The sequence below is a fragment of the Homo sapiens genome, chromosome 2 (genome assembly GCF_000001405.40).
Source record: "Homo sapiens chromosome 2, GRCh38.p14 Primary Assembly".
NCBI lineage: Eukaryota > Metazoa > Chordata > Mammalia > Primates > Hominidae > Homo > Homo sapiens.
Window position 1 is genome coordinate 241,987,346 of NC_000002.12, and position 24,876 is coordinate 242,012,221.

The 24,876-nt window shown below is 50.6% G+C and overlaps 2 long non-coding RNA genes across 2 annotated transcripts in view, besides 5 other annotated features; both read left to right on the forward strand.

Moving 5' to 3' along the window:
- LINC01237 (long intergenic non-protein coding RNA 1237) overlaps nt 1-24,876 on the forward strand; it is a 197,360-nt gene that overhangs the window by 105,983 nt on the left and 66,501 nt on the right. The window lies entirely within an intron of this gene.
- Nucleotides 419-588: an enhancer, noted in NCBI's record as "experimental_58196 CRE fragment used in MPRA reporter constructs". NCBI's record gives its function as "activates a minimal promoter by MPRAs in K562 erythroleukemia cells, with activity observed for the introgressed 2:242930000 or rs117441917 variant allele {active_cell/tissue: K562}" and the evidence as "EXISTENCE:reporter gene assay evidence [ECO:0000049][PMID:34662402]".
- Nucleotides 419-628: a biological region, named in NCBI's record as "Neanderthal introgressed variant-containing enhancers experimental_58196 and experimental_58198".
- Nucleotides 459-628: an enhancer, noted in NCBI's record as "experimental_58198 CRE fragment used in MPRA reporter constructs". NCBI's record gives its function as "activates a minimal promoter by MPRAs in K562 erythroleukemia cells, with activity observed for the non-introgressed 2:242930040 variant allele {active_cell/tissue: K562}" and the evidence as "EXISTENCE:reporter gene assay evidence [ECO:0000049][PMID:34662402]".
- Nucleotide 504: a transcriptional cis regulatory region, noted in NCBI's record as "Neanderthal adaptively introgressed variant 2:242930000 (GRCh37/hg19 assembly coordinates) or rs117441917 in the experimental_58196 CRE". NCBI's record gives its function as "modulates activity of the experimental_58196 enhancer by MPRAs in K562 erythroleukemia cells {active_cell/tissue: K562}" and the evidence as "EXISTENCE:reporter gene assay evidence [ECO:0000049][PMID:34662402]".
- Nucleotides 13,864-18,668, forward strand: LOC285097 (uncharacterized FLJ38379). Its single transcript, NR_149023.1, has one exon. It is a non-coding gene; the product is annotated as an uncharacterized FLJ38379 (long non-coding RNA).
- Nucleotides 17,498-18,119: an enhancer, noted in NCBI's record as "NANOG-H3K4me1 hESC enhancer chr2:242946994-242947615 (GRCh37/hg19 assembly coordinates)". NCBI's record gives its function as "activates a minimal SCP1, AML or CMV promoter by ChIP-STARR-seq in naive H9 embryonic stem cells {active_cell/tissue: H9 hESC(naive)}" and the evidence as "EXISTENCE:reporter gene assay evidence [ECO:0000049][PMID:30033119]".

Here is a 24,876-nt window from a genome sequence, read left to right on the forward strand (position 1 = left end):
TCGATGGCGTTGGGTGTACTCGGAGATCCAGTCGGTGGCGTTGGGTGTACTCGGAGATCCAGTCGGTGGTGTTGGGTGTACTCAGAGATCCAGTTGATGGCATTCATTGTACTCGGAGATCCAGTCGATGGCGTTGGGTGTACTTGGAGATCCAGTCGGTGGCGTTGGGTGTACTTGGAGATCCGGATTGATGCTGAATATAGGGGGTCAGGAAGATGCAGTTCCTGACCGCTGGGTGTGGTCCCCGGAACAGCCAGGCTGCGCTGGGTGCTGAGGCCACTGCTGTCAATGAGGAGAGACCTGCTTTTGCAGGTGGATCAGAGAGTTCTGAACTCCTCTGTCATTTCATTAGGAAACAGGTTTTCAGGCCCTGGGCTGCAGCTCCTGGTGCTGAGAACTTTCCAGAAGGTTGGTGGCTCCTGTTCTACGCCTTGTCAGGGAAGATGTGGGTTCGCCCCAGGTGCTCCAGAAAGGTCGTGTTCTCTATGGAATGAAGACGGGTGGGCATAAGCGTGGGTCCGGGGCCACCCTCTGTCGTCCGCCGGCGTGTTTCTCATCCAGCCACGTCTCGGAAGGTCTGTGACTGCTGAAAACATTCTGTGCATGAACGTTGGGGAAGGAAACCCACCCAGAGGAGGGGCAGGCGCCACCCCAGGCGTCAGAGCACCAAGCCGCAGAGAACGGAGGCAGCAGGTGCCCGGGACACACCGGGGAGACCGCAGGAGCAGCCCGTGTCTTCTGTGGCTCAGTCCCGCGAGAAACTGGAGGCCAGCGCTTCACAGCTCCCATTTGCAGAGACCAGCTCCCGTGAATGAAGCAAACAACCTGATGTTTGCATTTGCAAGAGGAACTATGATTGTGCCAGGGATGGGGTCTTCAGGTTGTGCATGAGAGTCTGGGGTCCATGCGTGGAGAGGGAGTGGTGTCAGAGGGTCAGAGCCCATGGGCGGTTCTGGGACATGGAAGCTGGTGTCGAGTCAGTCGGGGACGTGGCCTCCCCAGCACAGCCAGGGTGAGTGTCCTCTCTCTCTAAGGCGAGGCAGGAGGGGCCTCTTGTTTCTCAGCCCCCGCAGCTCTGGCCACCCCAGGCTTATGGCACACGGTAATGGATATTTCTGAATGTCTCTTTGGCCAAATGAGTCTGGAAAATGATGTGCTAAGGTGCTCTTGGGATTGTTTTCATGGATCCCAGGTTCGTCGTGTGTATAATGTGGCAATCTGCACCGTAAACCCCGAGCTGCGCAGCCTGGCGCGGCGTGCGTCCGTAACGCATTTAACCACCATTTATTGTTGTTATTATCATTTTTATTATTGTCATTATTTGGGTAATAGTAAAGAAGTGTGCTTTATGTGGCTTTTCGTCATTTTTTAAGCCAAGTTGGCGGTTTTTTGTTTTATGCATGTTTCTCTTATTTTTAATTTCTTGAAATGTTCCTCCCTGGGTCCTCGAGGCAGATGATAAAATACATGTTATGCGTTTTTCACATTTCCAAAGAAAGAGTAGGGAAGTCCTGGAAAGATTTGCTAAATGTAGGAGCCAAGGATTTCAGAAAAAGCAATTTCTGTTTTTGCAGAAAGAAATCAGGCATTTCAAGTGAGTTACTATTTATTTAAGTTAATCATTTATTAAGCTATTTTCATATGGTGCCAATGTAATCACTGGACATACATGTTAAGTCTAGGAAAAAACTATCATTTTTATTAATTTAACTAATTAATTATCAGAAATGCTGAATTGTGGCCAAGGTATGTGGCATTAACTCATCAGAATCCCTAAATTTAGGACCAGATGGGGCTGGCGGCAGGACACTGACACTCCCGGGGCGTGGGACCAAGGGCCACAAAAGAGCAGGTCCCCTGAAACCCTGAGAGCTCAGCGGAGGCTGGGCCTTTGTTGAGAAACTGGTTCCCTTCACAGAAGAGCAGCCCTGGACACACCCTTTCCTCTCCACAGGCTCCGCTGCACCCACCTGGTGAACCTGACACCAGCTGGCGCAGAGGGAGGTGAGACCTATGTCCGACTCAGCTCTGCTGCAGTGGAGAAAGTGCCATACCTTGTGACCTAGTTCACCATTTCTCACCTCTGAATTTGTCTAAACTTCCTTCTCCATCTATTCATCTGTCCTTCTCTCCACTCACCTCTCTCTAAACTACCCATCCATCCATCCATCCATCCATCCACCCACCATCCATTCATCCATCCATCCATCATCCACCATCCACCATCCATCCATCCACCATCCATCCATCCATCCATCCATCCATCCATCCATGCATCCATCCATCCATCCACCATCCATCCATCCATCCATCCATCCATCCATCCATGCATCCATCCATCCATCCATCCATCATCCACCATCCACCATCCATCCATCAATCATCCACCATCCACCATCCATCCATCCACCATCCATTATCCATCCATCCATCCACCATCCATTCATCCATCCATCCATCATCCACCATCCACCATCCATCCATCCATCCATCCACCATCCATCCACCCACCATCCATTCATCCATCCATCCATCATCCATGCATCCATCCACCATCCATCCACCATCCATGCATCCATGCATCCATCCATCCATCCATCCACCATCCACCATCCATCCATCCACCATCCATCCATTATCCATCCATCCACCATCCACCATCCATCCATCATCCATCCATCCATCCATCCATGCATCCATCCATCCATCCATCATCCATCCATCCACCCATCCATCCATCATCCACCCATCCATCCATCATCCACCATCCATGCATCCATCCACCATCCATGCATCCATCCACCATCCATGCATCCATCCATCCATCCACCATCCACCATCCATCCACCATCCATGCATCCATCCACCATCCATGCATCCATCCACCACCATCCATCCACCATCCATGCATCCATCCACCATCCATCCCCATCCATCCACCATCCATCCACCATCCATCCATCCATCCATCCATCCATCCATCCACCATCCACCCACCATCCATCCATCCATCCACCATCCATCCATCCATCCATCCATCCACCATCCATCCACCATCCATCTATCCACCATCCATCCATCCACCATCCATCCATCCATGATCCATCCACCATCCATCCACCCATCCATCCATCCATCCATCCACCATCCATCCACCACCATCCACCATCCATCCATCCATCCATCCACCACCATCCACCATCCATCCATCCATCCATCCACCATCCATCCATCCATCCATCCATCCATCCACCATCCATCCATCCACCCATCCATCCATCCATCCATCCATGCATCTGTCACTCTGTTCTTCTACCCACCCATTTAGCCACCCACCTCTGTCCATCTGTCATCCCTGTCCAGCTATTTATACACATCAAGACGTAATCTGGCACTGCTGGGCAAGGTTAGTAAATAAACTCTGAAATGTTTTCCACAGAGGCAACCTTGGCACTCAAGTGACCAGAGTCGCCCTGTATTAGCTTCAGATGCTGTAACAAAATCCCCTAGACTGTGGCTTATCTGACAGGAATTCATCCCTCAGAGTCCGGAGGCTGGAAGGGCCAGGGCTGGCAGGTGCCACGTTTGGTCTCTCTCTGTGGCTTGAGGATGGCCCCCTTCTCCGTGTGTCCTCACATGGCAGGGAGAGAGACAGCTCCGGCCTCTTTCTCATCCTATAATCACCCCACAGAGGCTCCACTCCTAATCCCATCACGTTGGGGTTAGGGCTTCAACACGTGGGTTTTGAGGGGACACATTCCGTTCCCCCTGTATTCAGCATCAATCAGGGGAAGGAAGATGAAGTATGAAATCGCCAAGCTGTAAAACCCTAAAAGGGAAAGTAAACGCTCCTCTGCCAGTGGCTTTGGGCTTTAGTTTGACGTTTTGAAATTCAGACCTAAACCAGGTCTTTGACATTTGATACGGTTTGGATCGTATCCCTGCCCACGTCCCACGTGGACGTGGAATCTCCAGCGTTGAAGGCGGGGCCTGGTGGGAGGTGATTGGATCACGGCCGGCGTTCCCACAAATGGCTTCGCACCGTCGCCTCCGTGACGCCCTCGTGACACTGAGTGAGCAAGTTATTGTGAGACCTGGTCGTTTGAAACTGAGTTGGGGCCCAGCTCAGCGGGCACGACCCTGCTCTGGGCCACGCTTACGCGCTTGTTCCTAACGCAGCCCGTCTCTCCCTCCCGAAGAGCCTGCTTCCCTCACCTTCGCCAGGACTGAAGGTTCCCTGAACTCCCCAGAGGCCGAGCAGAAGCACGAGGCTTCCTGTACAGCCTGCAGAACCGTGAGCCAATTAAACCTCTTTCCTTGATAAATGACCCCTCTCAGGCATTTCTTTATAGCAGGGTGAGAACAAATGAATACACCATTCTAAGTATTAATATAATAACTTGTCCGCTGGTCTCACAAAACCTACCCTTGCTGTATATTAACTTTGTGATAATGCGTATTAATTTATAAGTGCATTTTAAATTCTTTGGCAATTTTTATTTTTATAAATTAGATATGTCCTTAGTTCTTTTTACATTTGATGAAAACATTGAGTCTTCCAATGAGTGTCATAACAAAATAGGTTTTTTAAACTTTGTATACAAATGTTATATACAATATTATAGAGAGATATTTTATAGAATGTGCCCAATGTTGAGAAGTTAAAATATTTTTATTTTGCATTGGGTAGAAAAAAAGGAAATGGGATAGATGCAACCTCTATTAAAAGACATTTCTCTTCCACTTGCAACCGTGATGTGTAACCAGCAGCGCAGGGGTCACGACCTTCCTTCACACATGCAAAGGGTAAGGAAGACCCCGGCCAGCAAGACACTTCTTGAGTGGGGGATTTTTAACATTGCGCTGAAATGGAAATGCCAGCTCTGTAGAAGGCATCATATTTTTAATTTTTAATGTAATGTAATTTATTTTAAAGACAGGATCTTGCTCTGTCACCCAGGCTGGAGTGTAGTGGCACGGTCAGTCACGGCGCACTGCAGCCTGGACCTCCTGGCCTTAGGGTTCCTCCTACCTCAGCCTCCTGAGTAGCTGGGACTCCAAGCACATGCCACCATGCCTGGCATATCATTAAAAAAACCTACACTTTCTTTTATCTGTTTTAAATAATATTTTAATTATGCATTAGATATTTTAGTGTTTTTGTGCGTGGAAGTGGCTTTTGAACATGTACTAGGAATTGCCTAATGGTTTCAAAATGCACATTTTTAAAAGCATCTTTGCTCTTTATCTAAGAAATGCTGGATATCATTTTACAAGGTTAATTATTTGATATATTTGGATTATTATAATAAGTGTTTTAGTTATCCTATGTATACTGAAAACACATTGCTGTAGTATCACGTAGCTGTGTAACAATTACTTAAATGATTTGTGTTGTCCATTTGTATTTGAACTTTTCTGGATGGAAATGTTTATACTCGGCTTACCTGAGATGGAAAACACTTCTGTCTGGGGTTTGAAGAGGGCAGGGTGTTTGGCGCTAGTGACGTTTGCACCCGGGATTCTGGGTCTCCCCAGGACCCGTGGGCGGATTCAGCCTCTCCCAGCCTCCGCCCCTGCTGCCCCAGCTGGGACCAGTTCCCAACTCAAGGCTTAGTCCCAAGCCTGGTTAGCAGAAGGTCAGCTTATTCCCTTGAGTCCCCTAGTGTCAAATGAGAGGCCCTTCCTCCTCTCATCACGGAGATCGAGATTGCGCTCCCTGTACTCGACGGCCAGCCACTGCATGAACCACTGACGGAGCAGCTCAGATGACAGACACCCCCGTCCCCAGCTCCTAAGGTGGCTCAGACCACAGACACCCCGTCCCCAGCTCCTAAGGTGGCTCAGACCACAGACACCCCGTCCCCAGCTCCCGAGGGGGCTGAGATGACAGACACCCCCATCTCCCAGCTCCTGAGGCTGGACATCCAAGGCCAAGACACCCAAGGGCTTGTTCCTTCCAAGGCTGCGAGGGAGGCCTGTGCTTGGCCGTCTTCCCCCGTGTCCTCACCTTGTCTTTCCCTTGTGCGTGTCTTTATGCCCAAATTTCCCCTTTCCATGAAGACCCCATTTGCACTGGATCAGGGTGCACCCTAATGAACTCACTGTAATTTGAACTCTGTGAAGACCCCATCTTCAAACAGTCACAGTCTGAGGTCCAGGAGGTTCAGTCTCCAGCATGTCTTTTTGGAGGGGCCCAGCTCAGCCGGCACGACCCTGCTCTGGGCCACGCTTATGGCGTCTGTCCCTTACGCGGCACCACAGCCACCGCACCGCGACGCCACGCACTGACACATCCCCCTGGGGGCTGGGACTCTGCTGGACATTTCCCAAGTTATCCAATTGGTTTCTGAGTCTCTCAAGGATTCTTGAGAACAATGAATATCTCCTTTCAGGACAGAACTCCTGGCAGCTTCTGCTGGGTCCACTCCTTCACCTGGAGCCGACCCTGCCTGCTGGGCTCTTGGCCACTGGCAGTTGCAGAAGGAGATGGGGTGGGGAGGGGCCCACCATTCTCCTCACATTCTGATTCTTGCTGAGGTGGTGACTAAGGCTTCACTCGGTACCTCTGCGATAGGGGAGAAGGTCACACTCAACTCTGAATAGAGCAAAGGCGGCTGACTTGTGCCGATGAGCACAGTTGGGGGACAGAAAATGACCAGGAGGAGATGTCGAGGCACAGGTTTCTTGTTGAGGGCAGGGCAGCGGGATCAGACAGGAAGAGTGAGGATGGGGAATTTGGTCAGACACCAGGAGTGGAGTGTTCTGGATGAATGGATGTCACAGGATTCTTGCTAAGGCTGGGCAGGCCCAGCAAGCTCAGGGTGGACACAGAAGGTCAAGGTCCAGGCGTGTCGGAGAGGCTCAGAGGAGCCCGAAGGAAGGAAGGCTGGTCCAGGAGGGACCTTTGCCACCACTGAGGTCCTCTGACGCCACCTCATCTGCTCGACCTGACAACATTTCCCCCCGGGGAGGCGGTGGTGCAAGTGTGGAAGTGTCTCCTGGACTGACCGCCCGCCCTCATCATTGGATTCCATCTGCAGGTGCTGAAGGTGCCCTGCACAATGGGAAACGGTTGGAATTGGAACTTTAACCAGAGTGATAACCGTGAGAGTTACCTTGCAAAGTGCCTCCGCCTGTTCCTTTTATTTCAGAGTCGGCTGCTCCCACACTCTGTGTCCAAGACTCTCGGACGTGAGGCTGAGAGCGGGAGTGGCAGAGCCTTCTTTAGCTTCACCTGCAGCTGCCGGCCACGTGCTCTGACACCTCTGAGGCCTACATCTCCAGATCGCACCTTCCATGGGTCCTTGCTTTGTATTTTCCCGCAACTGGACTCATGCCTCCTTTCTCATTCTGCAAACCTGCCAAGGCCATGCAGGCACTCTGGCTCTCAAAACCAGCTGGGATGCCAGGACTGAGGCTCACTCTGAACCACCTGCGTGCCCAGGGCTGGGCAAAGACCTGGTGCAGCCAAACCTCAGAGGAGGAAAGGCAACGTTGTGAGCAAATTAGAAAGGGGTCGGGGGAGAAATTCATACACACATACACATATACATGCATACACACATGTATACACACACATGCACACGCACACACACATACATATATACACACATACATGCATACACACATACACACATACACATATACACACATGCACATGCACATACACACATACACGTATACACACATGTATACACACATACACACATGTACACAATACATACACATACACACAGGCACATTGGTATATACAAGTATACATAGAGCTGATCTCAGTTTACACAAAGCAGTCTTTTCAAATGTTTGCCTTAGAATAAACAATCTTTCTCTAGTATTTTTAAAAAATAAAACCAAAGACACTGACAAGTCTGATGCAAAGAACGAAGCTGCTGCTGATCCGCCTGCTTCTACATGGGCAAGATTGACTCTGGGTAAAAACAAGAGAAAGCAGGGAAAAGTTGAAAATAGGGACAGAGCCAGCCTACAGACACTACCTTCCTATCCTTCCCTTCTCCCCTGCCTGCCTGAGGAGCAAAAAGCCTCGTCTAAGGGAGGCTGGACAGAATCTAAACAGATAAGCCAGCAGTGAAACCGCTTCCCGGGGCACGCACAGCAGGTGCAGTTGCTAGGTCAGCATCCCCTCCTCCCGGCCCACAGCTTTACTGGAGGAGAGCAGCAGGACAAAGCCAGGCTTACCTGGGCCACGCGGGGCCTAAGTTCTGCTGTGTGGGAAGGGTGGGTGCTGGAGAGGAGTCCCTGTGTGCAGGGCATGGGTCTCACCTTGGCTTCTGTCAAAGCTCAGCCTGCACGGCGTTCCCAGGATGCAGCTGGTGATCGCATCCGTCCTAGGAGGACACAGTAACTGGTATCCAGGGCACTCCTAATGTGGCGTCTGATGCCTGGGGGTCTCTATGGTAATCTCGGCTCACTGCAACCTCTGCCTCCCGGGTTCAAGCGATTCTCCTGCCTCAGCCTCCCGAGTGGCTGGGATTACAGGCATGCTCCACCATATCCAGCTAATTTTTCTAGTTTTAGCAGAGACGGGGTTTCACCATGTTGGCCAGGCTGGTCTTGAACTCCTGACCTCAAGTGATCCACCCACCCTGGCCTCCCACAGTGCTGGGATTGCAGGTGTGAGCCACTGCGCCCAGCCCACCAGCCTCCTTCTCAATGTGCTTTGTAAAACTTGCTCACAAGCATTTTTTGAATCTTGTCTAACAATTGACACACTGGTCATAAGCAGAATTTGCTTCTCAGAGGAATTCACACTGTATTTCTTGACAATATTCTTTTGCGGGACCCCCAGGGTTCCCATGGCACAGCTGCGGTGGACACTGTGAGACCTCCGTTGTCCTGGGGAGTGGGTGGTGGCCTTCGTCGCAGGCAGGGCTGGTCAGAGGCGACGCCTGTCCTGGCCTGCTTGTCACAGCCAGGTAGGCACCAGGCCAGAAGCTGCAGAGCCCAGGCAGTATTGCTCACCTGTCCAGCGCGCTGTCCGTATTTATGGGAAGTTTTCATACACGCATGCAATGTGTGATGTTCAAATCAGGGTCGCTGGGATGCCCACCGCTTCAGACATGATTTCTTTGTGTTGGGAACATGACTTTCTCTTCCAGCTCTCTGAAATACACAATAAGTTACTGTGAACTCTACTCACCCTACCATGCTCCTGAAGGCTGCAACGTATTCCTTCTATCTCACCATACGTTTGCACCCATTCACCTGCTCCTGAAGGTTGGAACATATTCCTTCCATCTCACCATACGTTTGCATCCGTTCACCTGCTCCTGAAGGCTGGAACGTATTATTCCTTCCATCTCACTGTACACTTGCGCCTGTTCACTGACCGCTCAGCTTTTTCCTGCTTCTGCCTGTGAGTTTGGAAGCGACAGAGGATACGCTGTTTATGCGTTGGAGCTAACACTAGAATTGCTAATTATTTTTATCATTACATTTTACTTTATTTTGTAACTTACTAGCTAAACTCATTGCTGTGTTAATTTTGTGGTTGCTTTGGGTTTCTGATACACATGGTTAACATACCACAGTCTTCCTCCGAGCAACGCTGTGCCATTTCACGGCAGTGAAAGGCCCGGGAAGGATCCCCTGCCATTGTCTGCCCGCAGCCACAGTGCTATTACCAACGTACGTTTTATTCTATGCGTACTATAAACCCAACGATGCGCTGATACTAAACTTGTTTTAGGAGGTCAAGTATGTTTTAAGTAGATGAAAATAATGAGAAGTATTTTCTGCGAAGCGTGCAGGAGCCATTTCCCATATTCTCTTCCCTTGCTGGAGGGCCAGCTCCTTACCCGGCGCCCTTGACTTCATTCGGTGGATGTCCCCGTAAGTGCGTGCCGCCAACACTGGCCATGGATGTCGTCATCTTTTCTGCTTGTGAAAATGTCTTCGTAGCACCCTCATTTTGGAAAGATAAACCTGCTGAAAAAATGTTCCAATTTGACCGTGTATTCTCTCGTTAGTTAAGACCTCCCACTCTGCCCGTTTGCTGGGTTTCTTGGCTGTTTCTCTCTGCAGTGTGCCCTTTTGCTGGGTCTGCGAAGCAGGAGATTTTGCCATTTCATTAGAATGTTCCCTGACGTGCTTTTCTTCATGTTTCCTGTGCTTGGGGTTGCTGGAGCTTCCTGGATCTGTGTTGATAGTTTTTATGAAATTTTGATGTTTTGGCCAGTTTTTTCCTACACATTTTCTTATTTTTCCCCAAATCCACTCTCCTTTGTGGACATCAACTTTGAGTATATGAGGCTTTGTGAAGCTTGCCACAGCTCACAGGTCCTCTGTCTCCGTTTGAGGGGTCTCTGTGGCCGTCTTCAAGTGAACCGATTTCTTCTTTTGCAATGTTCACTCACCCTCCACCCCACCAGATTTGTTGTGTTTTTATTTCTGACACTGATGTTGTTATCTTCAAACTTTGATTTTGGCCTTTCTGATTTTCCCTGGCTCTATTTAATGCGTCCTCTCTTCCCTCTTCCTTCCTGAACATCCGGAACACGATCCATATGGCTGTTTTAAAGTCTGTATCTTCTATTTCTATTGTCTGTTCTGTTTCTGGGTCAGTTTCCATAGATTGATTGATTCTCCTCTTCTTGGAGTCTATCGACCAGGGGCTCGGGGTGGGTGGCTGTCCAGACACCCTGTGCTCCTCTCCAGAAGGAAGTCTTATGAGACCACTGCTCTCCCAGAGGGCAGAGGAAGCTGCTCAGCTCTCACAGCATCCACAGGACCCCCCAAAACCCCTGCCCAATCCTGGGTCTGAGTCCCTCCTCTGAATACACAAGGCCTGAAGACACAGCGTTCAGAGGAAGGAGCTCAGACCTCCCCGATCAAATGGTATCTTCTTTGAAAGAATATGGCGCCACATTTGGGGTTGTCAACTGCGGCCAGGTCAGTACGTCTTCACTTTGATCAATTGCGGCCAGATCAATACGTCTGCACTCTGATTCCCACGTGTCTATGCCTCCCTGCTCCTCAATGCAGGGCCCTGGATGAAAGGAGTGAGTGCTGAGTTTTGTCTAAATCCAATCCTTGCAAGAGTCACTGAAAGTAGCATTATAAATTGTTTGCAAGAGGCCTTTGACACTGAAAACTTGGCCATGTGACTGTTGTCCAAAAATCCTGCTTTCACATCTATGAGTTGCTTATTTCTAAACTTTTTTGGTGAGAATAAAGTTATCTAATACTCAATGACTCAATGCTGTGTCATTTTTCTTTTATGGCACTTTGCATCAATCAGAGGAAATTTCCTCAGTTTTATTTAACAAGCACTCAGCTTTCATCAAAAATCGCAGCTCTTGAATCACGCTCAACACCCAAACTTAAACTTTACAAATGCGTTAAAAATTATGTAGTATCCTCCATGTGACTGTATCCATAACTGCCTTGAAACTCTTGCACAAAATAATATTATGAGTACTTTTTTTTCAATCAATGAGAATGCTTTCAGATCATTAAATCATATATGAAACGAACAGGCAGAAAGGTGTTAAGAAAGCAAAAGGAACCCTCTTTCTCCAATCTGTCCTGAATATTACAAACAATATTACAAATGATAGCATGTATAAATCTACACTCAGCCATCAGAAATAACGGCTGGTGCACACTCACCACCCGAGTCCTGTTCCTGAGGCTGTGCTGCCTCCTCCTGAGTGACGGGCAGTGCACACTCAGCTCTCAGGGCTTTCTTCCTGGGTTGTCGATGGGAAGCAGCATTCAGGAAGCCAGAGCCCAGTTCATGACACTGGGGTTTGCTCAACATTGCTCAGTGTCTGCTGTTTTCCCCCTGGAGACCTGGGCGGGACATGCCCTGGGAGACACCAGAATCAGGGCTCCCAGGGGTCAGGTCAGCGCTCGGCCCCTGACCTATTCCCTTGTGGACTTTCTGGGCAGGCTGGCGATCTCGGCGTGGTGAGAACACAGCTGCACGGGGTCTGTCCTGCTCTGTGGTCCAGGTGTGGTCCAGGTGAGCCCGCTCGCCAGCTGCAGACAGGATGAGAAGCTCATGAAAGAGGCTTCTGCAGGTGTGGTGGCCACAACGTTCTCTGACTCTGGGAGCTGATCCTAGTCTTGTAGCCGCTGGGCACAGACCCTCGGGCTGGATGTGAAGACCCCAGTCTTCTGCCGCCTTGTTCCGTGGTCCCCCCCGCCGAGTCCCAGATGGTGGATCTTCTTGTGTGCTACCAGAGGGTGGCAGGAGGGGACGCTGAGCCTGCCCCCAGCCCCCTGACTCCGTGTAGTAGCACATCCCGTATGCAGACTTGTGTTAGAATAGTCTATGTTGATAATGTGGTAAATTCTAGACTCAGGATAAATTAACTTAACATCTCTACCAGGGTGTAATGTAATATTGAACACATGTGTAACGTGCTTTAAAGGTGAGTCCACACTCCAGACCCAGCTCTTGTTCTTCCTACACGCTGATTACCTATACATTGTACCTAAATTGGCATATAACCCAAATAAACACCAAAGTATCATCCTTAGATCCATTTTGGGTGGAAAACCTCATAATTATCAGTCTTCTAAAGGCAAGTATTTACGTGCTTGGGCTCATAATTATTATCCTAATTGTGTCATTTTTTTAAGTCAAAAAATGCTAAACACAGAGCATGTAGAATCAGAAATTGCATAGATTTGCCTCAGAGAAAGACGCCCCTTTTTATAACAAACATAAAATATAAGACATCTGAAAAAAGCTGACCCTGAAAAATTATCTTATGGTCACATTTAGTTTCCTTTTTTCTAAAAAACTGTATTTTATGACTGTTTTAATGGAAACATTAAAATTTCTATTACATTATGGAGTAAAAGTGGTAGCTCATGCTAGTGTAATTATATGTAAATTATTCAACCTTTAAAGACAGCAGTGTCTCCTGAGTTTCAAAAAATACAATTTTTTATTTTAGCCTTCTCTCCAATATTAGGAGTATATTTTACTCTACCAAATTAAATAATTTAAGCTTAAAGTTGGATTTCCTTATGTAGCACTTTAAATATAAGAATCTCTTATAAGTCTAGCTACCTTCAAAAACAGTTGTGATAAAACAACTGTTTATGCCTCAGAAACATTTTTGAGATTTATATTCTGCTCCTTATGTTAATATTCCGAGGATTATATTCATCCCATTTTTAGTGGACCTCAAATTCATTTCATGAGAAGTAAAGACGCACTCAGCAGCAAAGTCAGACAGCTTGACATGTCATTAAAAACCTCATTCTCTTCCTGTTTCCCCTTCCACGGTGAATTTCTATGTGATATCTTATCACCTCCAGGGTGGAGAGATGAAATCAGCTTTTTGAATCACTCCTGAGAAAAGAGGTGTGTGAGAAAACACAACTGTGAAATGTCGTACCAGCCCAACCGAGGCACTGACAATCCCCTGGCCACTTCCCTCGGCTGATCGTCTTCTCGTTAATGCTTCTTAGTGAAATGCATTAATAGAATTTTAAAAAGGGTGCTCCATTTACTTTAGACTTGGGAAGAACAAATTCTCATCAACTCTTCTTTACCCAAAATACAAATGGCCGCTTTTTAATCTTCTCAAGGCCTATTTTCCTATTCGTTTAGCTTTTTGGTAAGCCTCATTCCCGAGCTGTGCAATTCATCCTCCTTGGTCTCCCTGCAAAAATTGTAGAAAAGGATGGAAATTTTCTCAGAAACACAACAAAACCTACTGGAGTTTTGAAAGGAGTTGCATTGAGTTACTGGTCAGCTTGAGGTGGACAGACTAAAGTGGAGTCTTTCAATGTAAAAACAGTATAGCTCTCGCGTGTTTAGGATTGACTTAATTTCTGTCAAAAACATCTCACAATTTTCTGTGTAAGGCTCTTACATATCCTGCTTAGATTTTTTCCTACCTATTTATAGTTTTCCAATTTCATTTTCTGTTTGTTTCTGATGTAAAATTGTGTTTTTGTTTCATTACCTTGTATCTAACACACTTACTCAACATATTAATTAATTCTCATAATCTTTCCATAAGTTCCTTGTGGTTTTCTATAAACACAATCATGCCATCTTTGAACAAAATGAGTTTATGTCTCATTGTCTAATATTTTAATTTTACATATGATGTGAGGTTATGATCAAAGTTTCCTTTCAGAATTCAAGTTTTCAACTGTTCCAGTGCAACTTATTAAAAAGATTATTCATTCCCCACTGAATTTCCTTGGGACCTTTGTTCAAAATCCATTGACCATATGTACCTGGGTTTACTTCTGAACTCCTGTCCTGCTCTGGGGACCTCTGTGTCCAGGCCACCCTCCAATGCCATGGGGACCTCTGTGTCCAGGCCACCCTCCAATGCCATGGGGACCTCTGTGTCCAGGCCACCCTCCAAGGCCAGGCTGCCCCAATGACGGTGGTCATAGTTGGTCCATCTGAGCTACACTGGATCTGCTTAAACTGTTCATTTCTTTTATTCTAAGGAGATTCTGCTGATATCTTCCTTCCTCCTGGGTATCTGATTATAATCAATTAAGTGTCAACCATTTTAGTAGAAAAATCGAAGAGGTAATTTTTCTTACTAAAGTGAGATAAGAAGAAAGAAAGAAGTAACATTTGCTCTGTAGGGCATCTGCACATTCTACTAAAACTTTGGGGTAATCTTGGCCCAGTTCCAGAGACTGAGTTGGCTTATGGGGAGCTGTGTTCACGGGGCGGACCAGCCTGGGGTCATGTGGATCTGGGCTCGGCCCCAAGCCCCTCACCAATGCTCAGCCTCTGCGGCTCTACCGTTGGGAAACAGCCCCAGGGGAGGCTTGTCCCTGAGTGAGCACTCCCCACCGGGGCCCTGTTCTACAGCATATTCTGACTCAGCAGCCCCTTCCTTACTATCAGCCCTCTCGCATCTTCAAGGATGTTTTCTTACATCTTTTTCCAGACTTTCGGTTGTTTTCTGTTGGAGGGTGGTATGGGGTTACTTGGTAGAGCAACACTCAAAGCCTTCCTTTTTAAACGAGTACAGACAGGTAGCAGTCAAGATAAAAACCAAAATAAAGAAATCAAAAAAGCCCAGAGGAAACAAATAATCAGAGAATACGGATAATTTCCAAAAAATATAATGACTACCCTCCAAGAGATGATGGGACTATGCATTCATGGAACAAGAACAGATTGCTGAGAATAATTATCCAAGTATTAAGTGTGGGAGCTTGATAAGGCTTGGCTCCGTGTCCGCACAAAATCTCCTGTTGACTCTTAGTCCCCAGCGTTGGAGGTGGGGCCTGGCGGGAGGTGCTTGGATCTCAGGGTGGATTCTCATGAATGAGCTAGCACCATCCCTTGGCACTGTCCTCGAGACAGTGAGTGCGTTCTCATGAGATCTGGTCATTTAAAAGTGTGTGGCAGCTCCCACCTCGCTCTTGCTCCTGCTCTGACCCTGTGAGACGCCTGTTCCTGCTTTGCCTTCCACCATGATTGGAAGCTTCCCGAGGCCTCCCCAGAAGCAGAAGCTGCCATGCTTCCTGTGAAGTCTGCAAAACTGTGAGCCAACTAAACCTCTTTTCTCTATAAATTACCCAGTCTGGGGTATTTCTTTATAGCAATGTGAGACTGGATTCATACAGAGCTCTTCCTGAGAGAAAAAAGAATGCGAAACACAGTGAGTGATCAAAGGATCAGGCAGGAAGTTCTAACATTTGAGAAGGGCCTGGGAAGGCGGAGGTGGCAGACAGCATGGGAGACAGTCAGCAAGAGGGCGGAAGACACGTCCCAGGCCCCGGCAACGGAGGGTCCCAGCGTGAGAGGACTCCCAAGGCTGGAGCTGGGTGAGAGGGGAAGAGAACCCTTTGAGGCATCCTGGTGACTCCTTAGGGGAGGGGACCCTGTGCACTTCCAGAGAGAGAGAGGGGATTTCCCAGCCCTCACACATCTGAGGGCCTGGGGCGAGGGGGTGCTGCCGCAGTGGCACCGTTCCCCTCAGACTCGCTCATCAGGACTTCAGCACTGCCCGTCCATGGGGACGTCTGCACTCACAGTGTCCTCGGCACTGCCCTCCGTGGGGACGTCTGCACACACACTGTCCTCGGCACTGCCCGTCCATGGGGACGTCTGCACTCACAGAATGTCCTCGGCACTGCCCTCCGTAAATGGGGACGTCTGCACTCACAGTGTCCTCGGCACTGCCCTCTGTAAATGGGGACGTCTGCACACACACTGTCCTCGGCACTGCCCTCTGTGGGGACGTCTGCACTCACAGAATGTCCTCGGCACTGCCCGTCCATGGGGACGTCTGCACTCACAGTGTCCTCGGCACTGCCCTCCGTGGGGACGTCTGCACACACACTGTCCTCGGCACTGCCCTCCGTGGGGACGTCTGCACTCACAGTGTCCTCGGCACTGCCCGTCCATGGGGACGTCTGCACTCACAGTGTCCTCGGCACTGCCCTCCGTGGGGACGTCTGCACACACACTGTCCTCGGCACTGCCCTCCGTGGGGACGTCTGCACTCACAGTGTCCTCGGCACTGCCCTCCGTAAATGGGGACGTCTGCACTCACAGAATGTCCTCGGCACTGCCCTCCGTGGGGACGTCTGCACTCACAGTGTCCTCGGCACTGCCCTCCGTGGGGACGTCTGCACTCACAGAATGTCCTCGGCACTGCCCTCCGTGGGGACGTCTGCACTCACGGAATGTCCTCGGCACTGCCCTCCGTGGGGACGTCTGCACTCACAGTGTCCTCGGCACTGCCCTCCGTGGGGACGTCTGCACTCACAGTGTCCTCGGCACTGCCCTCCGTGGGGACGTCTGCACTCACAGAATGTCCTCGGCACTGCCCTCCATGGGGACGTCTGCACTCACAGTGTCCTCGGCACTGCCCTCCGTGGGGACGTCTGCACTCACAGAATGTCCTCGGCACTGCCCTCCGTGGGGACGTCTGCACTCACAGTGTCCTCGGCACTGCCCTCCGTGGGGACGTCTGCACTCACAGTGTCCTCGGCACTGCCCTCCGTGGGGACGTCTGCACTCACAGAATGTCCTCGGCACTGCCCTCCGTGGGGACGTCTGCACTCACAGTGTCCTCGGCACTGCCCTCCGGGACGTCTGCACACAGTGTCTTTGGCCCAGCTCGGGTTAGGAGCACTCGCTCTGGAGGCCTGACTGTGCTTTTGTAAATTTTCACAAACAGTCACTCAATAGGTTTTATTTTTTGTTTCCAATGATTCAATGACCAATTCTGCTAAATTTCACACAGCCGAAACACTTGAGAAAATTGGTAGTAAAGAACATTTGGAATCCCTGAGGATTTTCAGAGTTGAGCGTGTGTGGTGGTTAGCTGTATTCCTCCACTGGGCTGGGCCACGGTGCCCGGGTCTGATGGGACATTACTCTAGAGGCCTCTGGAAGGCGTTGGATGGGTGGGCTGTGAGGAAAGAAGATGAGCCTGCATAGCGTGGGTGGGTCTCCTCCGATCCGTTGAAGGCCTGACTAGAACAGAGATAACACCCTGCACCAGGAAGGAACTCTGCGTCCGACGGCTTCAGACTAGACTGGCAGTGCTGGCTCTTCCCCGGGTCTCCAGCCGAGGGTCCACCCTGCAGACCTTGGACCTGCCGGCTTCCACGGTCACACAAGCCAATTCCCTAAAGATAAATCTCTCTCTGTGTCTCCCTCTTTAACAAAAGGCCACCTTTAACCTTTAACAAAAGGCGACCTGCTGAGAAGTCCTTGTGCTCTGTGCTTTGAACTGGACATCAACAAACAACATGGCACTTAGTGTTTTTAAACTGACCAAGGGACAAGCCTGGAGCAGCCTCTTCCGGGGCCTCGATTAACCAGGAGGAGGTGGCTGCTGTGCCCCAACCCAGGTGACAGATTCGGGTGCCGGCACCTCCCCTGAGTCTCAGAGTCCAGGGAGTCACAATTCTACAGGGACAACAGAAACACACAAAAGTGGGCATAAAATAATCATCGATAGAAGGTTTGTCACTTTGATGTCTCTGTGAACTGATTTAATGTGGTATAGAAAGATGGTCCCGTTACTTTAGAGGTGGTTAGATATCTCTGTATAATGCCTGTATATAATAACTCTTACGTGATATAGAAAGATGGTCCCATTATTTTAGGGGTAGTTAGATATCTCTGTATAACACCTATATATAATAACTCCTATATGATACAGAAAAATGTTCTCATTACTTTAGAGGTAGTTAGATATCTCCATATAATGCCTGTATATAATAACTCTTATGTGATATAGAAAGATGGTCTCATTACTTTGGGAGTAGTTATAAATCTCCCTATAATGCCTGTATATAATACTCATATGTGATATAAAATGATGGTCCCATTACTTTAGGGGTACTTGGAAATCTCTGTATAATGCCGACATATAATTCTCATGTGTGATGTAGAAAGATGGTCCCGTTACTTTAGGGGTAGTTACAGATCTCTGTAGAGCTCCTGTGTGTAATACCCATATACTATGCCTCTGTTGATTCAGATAGATCAATTACTTCATAGAATGAATCTGCGTGTCTATTTTTAGGTGGATGAGTTGCTATGTTTTACCATTACTATTCTTGCTACATTAGTTCAGCTTCTACAGGTAACCAAATGATTTTCATTATCGTATATTTATAATGTCTCATCCAGTTATTTTCTGGAATGAGAGTACAAATAAATGTATTTCTCAAGCTGAAAACATACTTGTTTCTCAGACAAAATCCACTGAGTTTGCACTTGCCATTAGTGAAAAATGCCGTAAAAACCCATACCCCTGCTGAGGCCTCGGAACCTGAGAGGTGTGGCCTGTCTCCTCTAAGCCGTTTATCATCCGTGGTCCACAGACACATCAGAGAGTCTCCAAACGCTTTCCTGATTGCTTCTCCCAAGTACCCCGGACAGGCACTGTTGTTGGCACCAGGGAACACCCCGGGGAACAGAGCAGATCCAACACCAGGCCCAGGAGAGTCGGCTCCCGGTGACGCCTGAGATGTCTGTGGACTCCAGGCAATACTTGTGCAAGAGGCCGTGGGGGCCAATGGGGCATGATAGTGTGACCTTCAAATTACCAGTGTGCACGGCACACGGAAGGAACACACAGTGTGACCACGTGATTGCCTGTGCATACGGGGGGAACACAGAGTGTGACTACGTGATTGCCAGTGCGTACAGGGGGAACACACAGTGTGGCTGCGTGATTGCCAGTGCGTACAGGGGGAACACACAGTGTGGCTGCGTGATTGCCAGTGCGTACAGGGGGAACACACAGTGTGACCGCGTGATTGCCAGTGCGTACGGGGGGAACACACAGTGTGACCGCGTGATTGCCAGTGCGTACGGGGGGAACACACAGTGTGGCTGCGTGATTGCCAGTGCGTACAGGGGGAACACACAGTGTGACCGCGTGATTGCCAGTGCGTACAGGGGGAACACACAGTGTGACCGCGTGATTGCCAGTGCGTACAGGGGGAACACACAGTGTGACCGCGTGATTGCCAGTGCGTACAGGGGGAACACACAGTGTGGCCGCGTGATTGCCAGTGCACACGGGGGGAACACACAGTGTGACCGCGTGATTGCCAGTGCGTACAGGGGGAACACACAGTGTGACCGCGTGATTGCCAGTGCGTACAGGGGGAACACACAGTGTGACCGCGTGATTGCCAGTGCACACGGGGGGAACACACAGTGTGGCTGCGTGATTGCCAGTGCACACGGGGGGAACACACAGTGTGGCCGCGTGATTGCCAGTGCACACGGGGGGAACACACAGTGTGGCTGCGTGATTGCCAGTGCACACGGGGGGAACACACAGTGTGGCCGCGTGATTGCCAGTGCACACGGGGGGAACACACAGTGTGGCTGCGTGATTGCCAGTGCGTACAGGGGGAACACACAGTGTGGCTGCGTGATTGCCAGTGCGTACAGGGGGAACACACAGTGTGACCGCGTGATTGCCAGTGCACACGGGGGGAACACACAGTGTGGCTGCGTGATTGCCAGTGCGTACAGGGGGAACACACAGTGTGACCGCGTGATTGCCAGTGCGTACAGGGGGAACACACAGTGTGTCCGCGTGATTGCCAGTGCGTACAGGGGGAACACACAGTGTGGCCGCGTGATTGCCAGTGCGTACAGGGGGAACACACAGTGTGGCCGCGTGATTGCCAGTGCGTACAGGGGGAACACACAGTGTGGCCGCGTGATTGCCAGTGCGTACAGGGGGAACACACAGTGTGACCGCGTGATTGCCAGTGTGTACAGGGGGAACACACAGTGTGACCGCGTGATTGCCAGTGCACACGGGGGGAACACACAGTGTGGCTGCGTGATTGCCAGTGCGTACAGGGGGAACACACAGTGTGGCTGCGTGATTGCCAGTGCGTACAGGGGGAACACACAGTGTGACCGCGTGATTGCCAGTGCACACGGGGGGAACACACAGTGTGGCTGCGTGATTGCCAGTGCGTACAGGGGGAACACACAGTGTGACCGCGTGATTGCCAGTGCGTACAGGGGGAACACACAGTGTGACCGCGTGATTGCCAGTGCGTACGGGGGGAACACACAGTGTGACCGCGTGATTGCCAGTGCGTACAGGGGGAACACACAGTGTGGCCGCGTGATTGCCAGTGCGTACAGGGGGAACACACAGTGTGACCGCGTGATTGCCAGTGCGTACGGGGGGAACACACAGTGTGACCGCGTGATTGCCAGTGCGTACAGGGGGAACACACAGTGTGGCCGCGTGATTGCCAGTGCATACAGGGGGAACACACAGTGTGACCGCGTGATTGCCAGCTCGTACGGGGGGAACACACAGTGTGACCGCGTGATTGCCAGTGCGTACAGGGGGAACACACAGTGTGACCGCGTGATTGCCAGTGCGTACAGGGGGAACACACAGTGTGGCTGCGTGATTGCCAGTGCGTACAGGGGGAACACACAGTGTGACCGCGTGATTGCCAGTGCGTACAGGGGGAACACACAGTGTGACCGCGTGATTGCCAGTGCGTACAGGGGGAACACACAGTGTGACCGCGTGATTGCCAGTGCGTACAGGGGGAACACACAGTGTGGCTGCGTGATTGCCAGTGCACACGGGGGGAACACACAGTGTGGCCGCGTGATTGCCAGTGCACACGGGGGGAACACACAGTGTGGCTGCGTGATTGCCAGTGCGTACAGGGGGAACACACAGTGTGGCTGCGTGATTGCCAGTGCGTACAGGGGGAACACACAGTGTGACCGCGTGATTGCCAGTGCACACGGGGGGAACACACAGTGTGGCTGCGTGATTGCCAGTGCGTACAGGGGGAACACACAGTGTGACCGCGTGATTGCCAGTGCGTACAGGGGGAACACACAGTGTGACCGCGTGATTGCCAGTGCGTACAGGGGGAACACACAGTGTGGCCGCGTGATTGCCAGTGCGTACAGGGGGAACACACAGTGTGGCCGCGTGATTGCCAGTGCGTACAGGGGGAACACACAGTGTGGCCGCGTGATTGCCAGTGCGTACAGGGGGAACACACAGTGTGACCGCGTGATTGCCAGTGTGTACAGGGGGAACACACAGTGTGACCGCGTGATTGCCAGTGCACACGGGGGGAACACACAGTGTGGCTGCGTGATTGCCAGTGCGTACAGGGGGAACACACAGTGTGGCTGCGTGATTGCCAGTGCGTACAGGGGGAACACACAGTGTGACCGCGTGATTGCCAGTGCATACAGGGGGAACACACAGTGTGGCCGCGTGATTGCCAATGCACACGGGGGGAACACACAGTGTGGCCGCGTGATTGCCAGTGTGTACAGGGGGAACACACAGTGTGACCGCGTGATTGCCAGTGCGTACAGGGGGAACACACAGTGTGGCCGCGTGATTGCCAGTGCACACGGGGGGAACACACAGTGTGGCCGCGTGATTGCCAATGCACACGGGGGGAACACACAGTGTGACCGCGTGATTGCCAGTGCGTACAGGGGGAACACACAGTGTGGCTGCGTGATTGCCAGTGCACACGGGGGGAACACACAGTGTGGCTGCGTGATTGCCAGTGCCACACGGGGGGAACACACAGTGTGGTTGCGTGATTGCCAGTGCACACGGGGGGAACACACAGTGTGGCCGCGTGATTGCCAGTGCACACGGGGGGAACACACAGTGTGGCTGCGTGATTGCCAGTGCGTACAGGGGGAACACACAGTGTGGCTGCGTGATTGCCAGTGCGTACAGGGGGAACACACAGTGTGACCGCGTGATTGCCAGTGCACACGGGGGGAACACACAGTGTGGCTGCGTGATTGCCAGTGCGTACAGGGGGAACACACAGTGTGACCGCGTGATTGCCAGTGCGTACAGGGGGAACACACAGTGTGACCGCGTGATTGCCAGTGCGTACAGGGGGAACACACAGTGTGGCCGCGTGATTGCCAGTGCGTACAGGGGGAACACACAGTGTGGCCGCGTGATTGCCAGTGCGTACAGGGGGAACACACAGTGTGGCCGCGTGATTGCCAGTGCGTACAGGGGGAACACACAGTGTGGCCGCGTGATTGCCAGTGCACACGGGGGGAACACACAGTGTGACCGCGTGATTGCCAGTGCGTACAGGGGGAACACACAGTGTGGCCGCGTGATTGCCAGTGCACACGGGGGGAACACACAGTGTGGCCGCGTGATTGCCAGTGCACACGGGGGGAACACACAGTGTGGCTGCGTGATTGCCAATGCACACGGGGGGAACACACAGTGTGGCTGCGTGATTGCCAGTGCGTACAGGGGGAACACACAGTGTGACCGCGTGATTGCCAGTGCGTACAGGGGGAACACACAGTGTGGCTGCGTGATTGCCAGTGCATACGGGGGGAACACAGAGTGTGACCGCGTGATTGCCAGTGCGTACAGGGGGAACACACAGTGTGACCGCGTGATTGCCAGTGCATACAGGGGGAACACACAGTGTGACCGCGTGATTGCCAGTGCGTACAGGGGGAACACACAGTGTGGCTGCGTGATTGCCAGTGCATACGGGGGGAACACAGAGTGTGACCGCGTGATTGCCAGTGCGTACAGGGGGAACACACAGTGTGGCTGCGTGATTGCCAGTGCGTACAGGGGGAACACACAGTGTGGCTGCGTGATTGCCAGTGTGTACAGGGGGAACACACAGTGTGACCGCGTGATTGCCAGTGCGTACAGGGGGAACACACAGTGTGGCTGCGTGATTGCCAGTGCATACGGGGGGAACACAGAGTGTGACCGCGTGATTGCCAGTGCGTACAGGGGGAACACACAGTGTGACCGCGTGATTGCCAGTGCACACGGGGGGAACACACAACTGCGCTTTGGGAAGGACCGACTGGTCGAGGGGAGGAACCATGAATGGTCATTTAAAACCATTTTAAACCTTTTTATTAAACAAAAAAAGCAGAAATCACAAAAAAAGGAAAAGCAAAAGTCAAAGTTATACAACACAAAGTTGAAGTTTTCAAAACCTGAAAATGGAGTGTGTGTATTGAAGGGAGTTTCATATCTTTCATAAATGATCACTAATGCAGAAAATTTCACCTTCAATTACTATCAGTGTATTCATCAGGCGTTTTGGAATTCGGTTTATCTTAAATGCCTTCTATGTTTGTAGGTTTTTTTCTTTGAATTAGAACATTTTAAGGTATGTATACCTGTATGAAAATAGACGCATGACAAACACGTCATAAATAGAAGATGTCTTCACTCTAAAGATGCACACAGGTTTTTAAGTTACTATAAGTTTTTACTAGTTACCTACTCAGGTAGCAAGTTAATAGGACCACAATCAAGATTGTCTACTTTTGAAAATATCAACCAGGTAGACAATTATGGGACAAAATGACGTCCCCAAAGGACGTGGGGCTGTGGTGTGGTGAGACTCGTCGGAGACGCTGGACACCAGTGCTGATGCCAATGGAAAGAAAGGGCGTGGGGGGCTGTGGGTTTCCTCATGTTATGACCACGGTTTCCTGGGGGTGCAGCGCGTTCTCTGATGCTCTGACCACGGGTTCCTACATGGGGTGTGTTTTCTTCATCATCGTGGGCCCTGTGTTTTAAGTTCTATAACCAACATTTCCATGGAGTCTCTTTCATACTCAAAACCCATGTTTACATTTGTAAAAGAAAAGTTACAGTTATCTATTTAAACCTTCCAGTGGATAATAATGAAACTCTTTAAAACACAAGCCACTAGGCAGAAAGTCCACACCGAGGTGCTGGGGTCGCCTCAGAAGCTGACAATGCCAGGAGCTCCGTCCAGCCCAGCAAACTGAGGCAGGAGGCTGGGTTTCAGGTCCTGACCGGCTCAGAGAGAGGGCGGCTTCCAGTCTGGGTTCGTTTCTCGCTGAGAATGTACTGTGGATGCAAGGTTGGTACGGGGTGAACAGATGCTTAATTCACTGGGGCCCCTTCCCTGGGCAGGAGGCCCACGAGGCTGAGGAAGTCAATGAATAAGGACAACCACCTAGCGAACAAAACCCAGCCAGAACCAAAGCAAATGAAAGCAGCCTTCCGTGTCGCTGGTGCTCTAGTGGGTGGAAATTACTAGCAGCTTCTTGCATATGGTTGACTTTTGTGCTTAATATCTGGTGTTTTCTACTTTTGGGATTTTGTCCTTGGATGCCATGCAGAGGTCGTGCTGGAGTGGATAATCCCAGCTCCACGCCCGTGCCCCACATCGAGGTGACTTTGGGTGTGAACGAGGCAATGGAATGCTAGACTGACGTCTTCATGCTGCTGACCAACAGCTTCCCAGCGATGGCAATGGTGGGACAGGGGTCATTCCGTGGAGAGTCGGGGCGGGTGCTGTGTTTTCAGAGGTCACAGCCGCCACCGCCCTGCTCCGAGCTCCAGGTTTGGGATGGTGTCACCG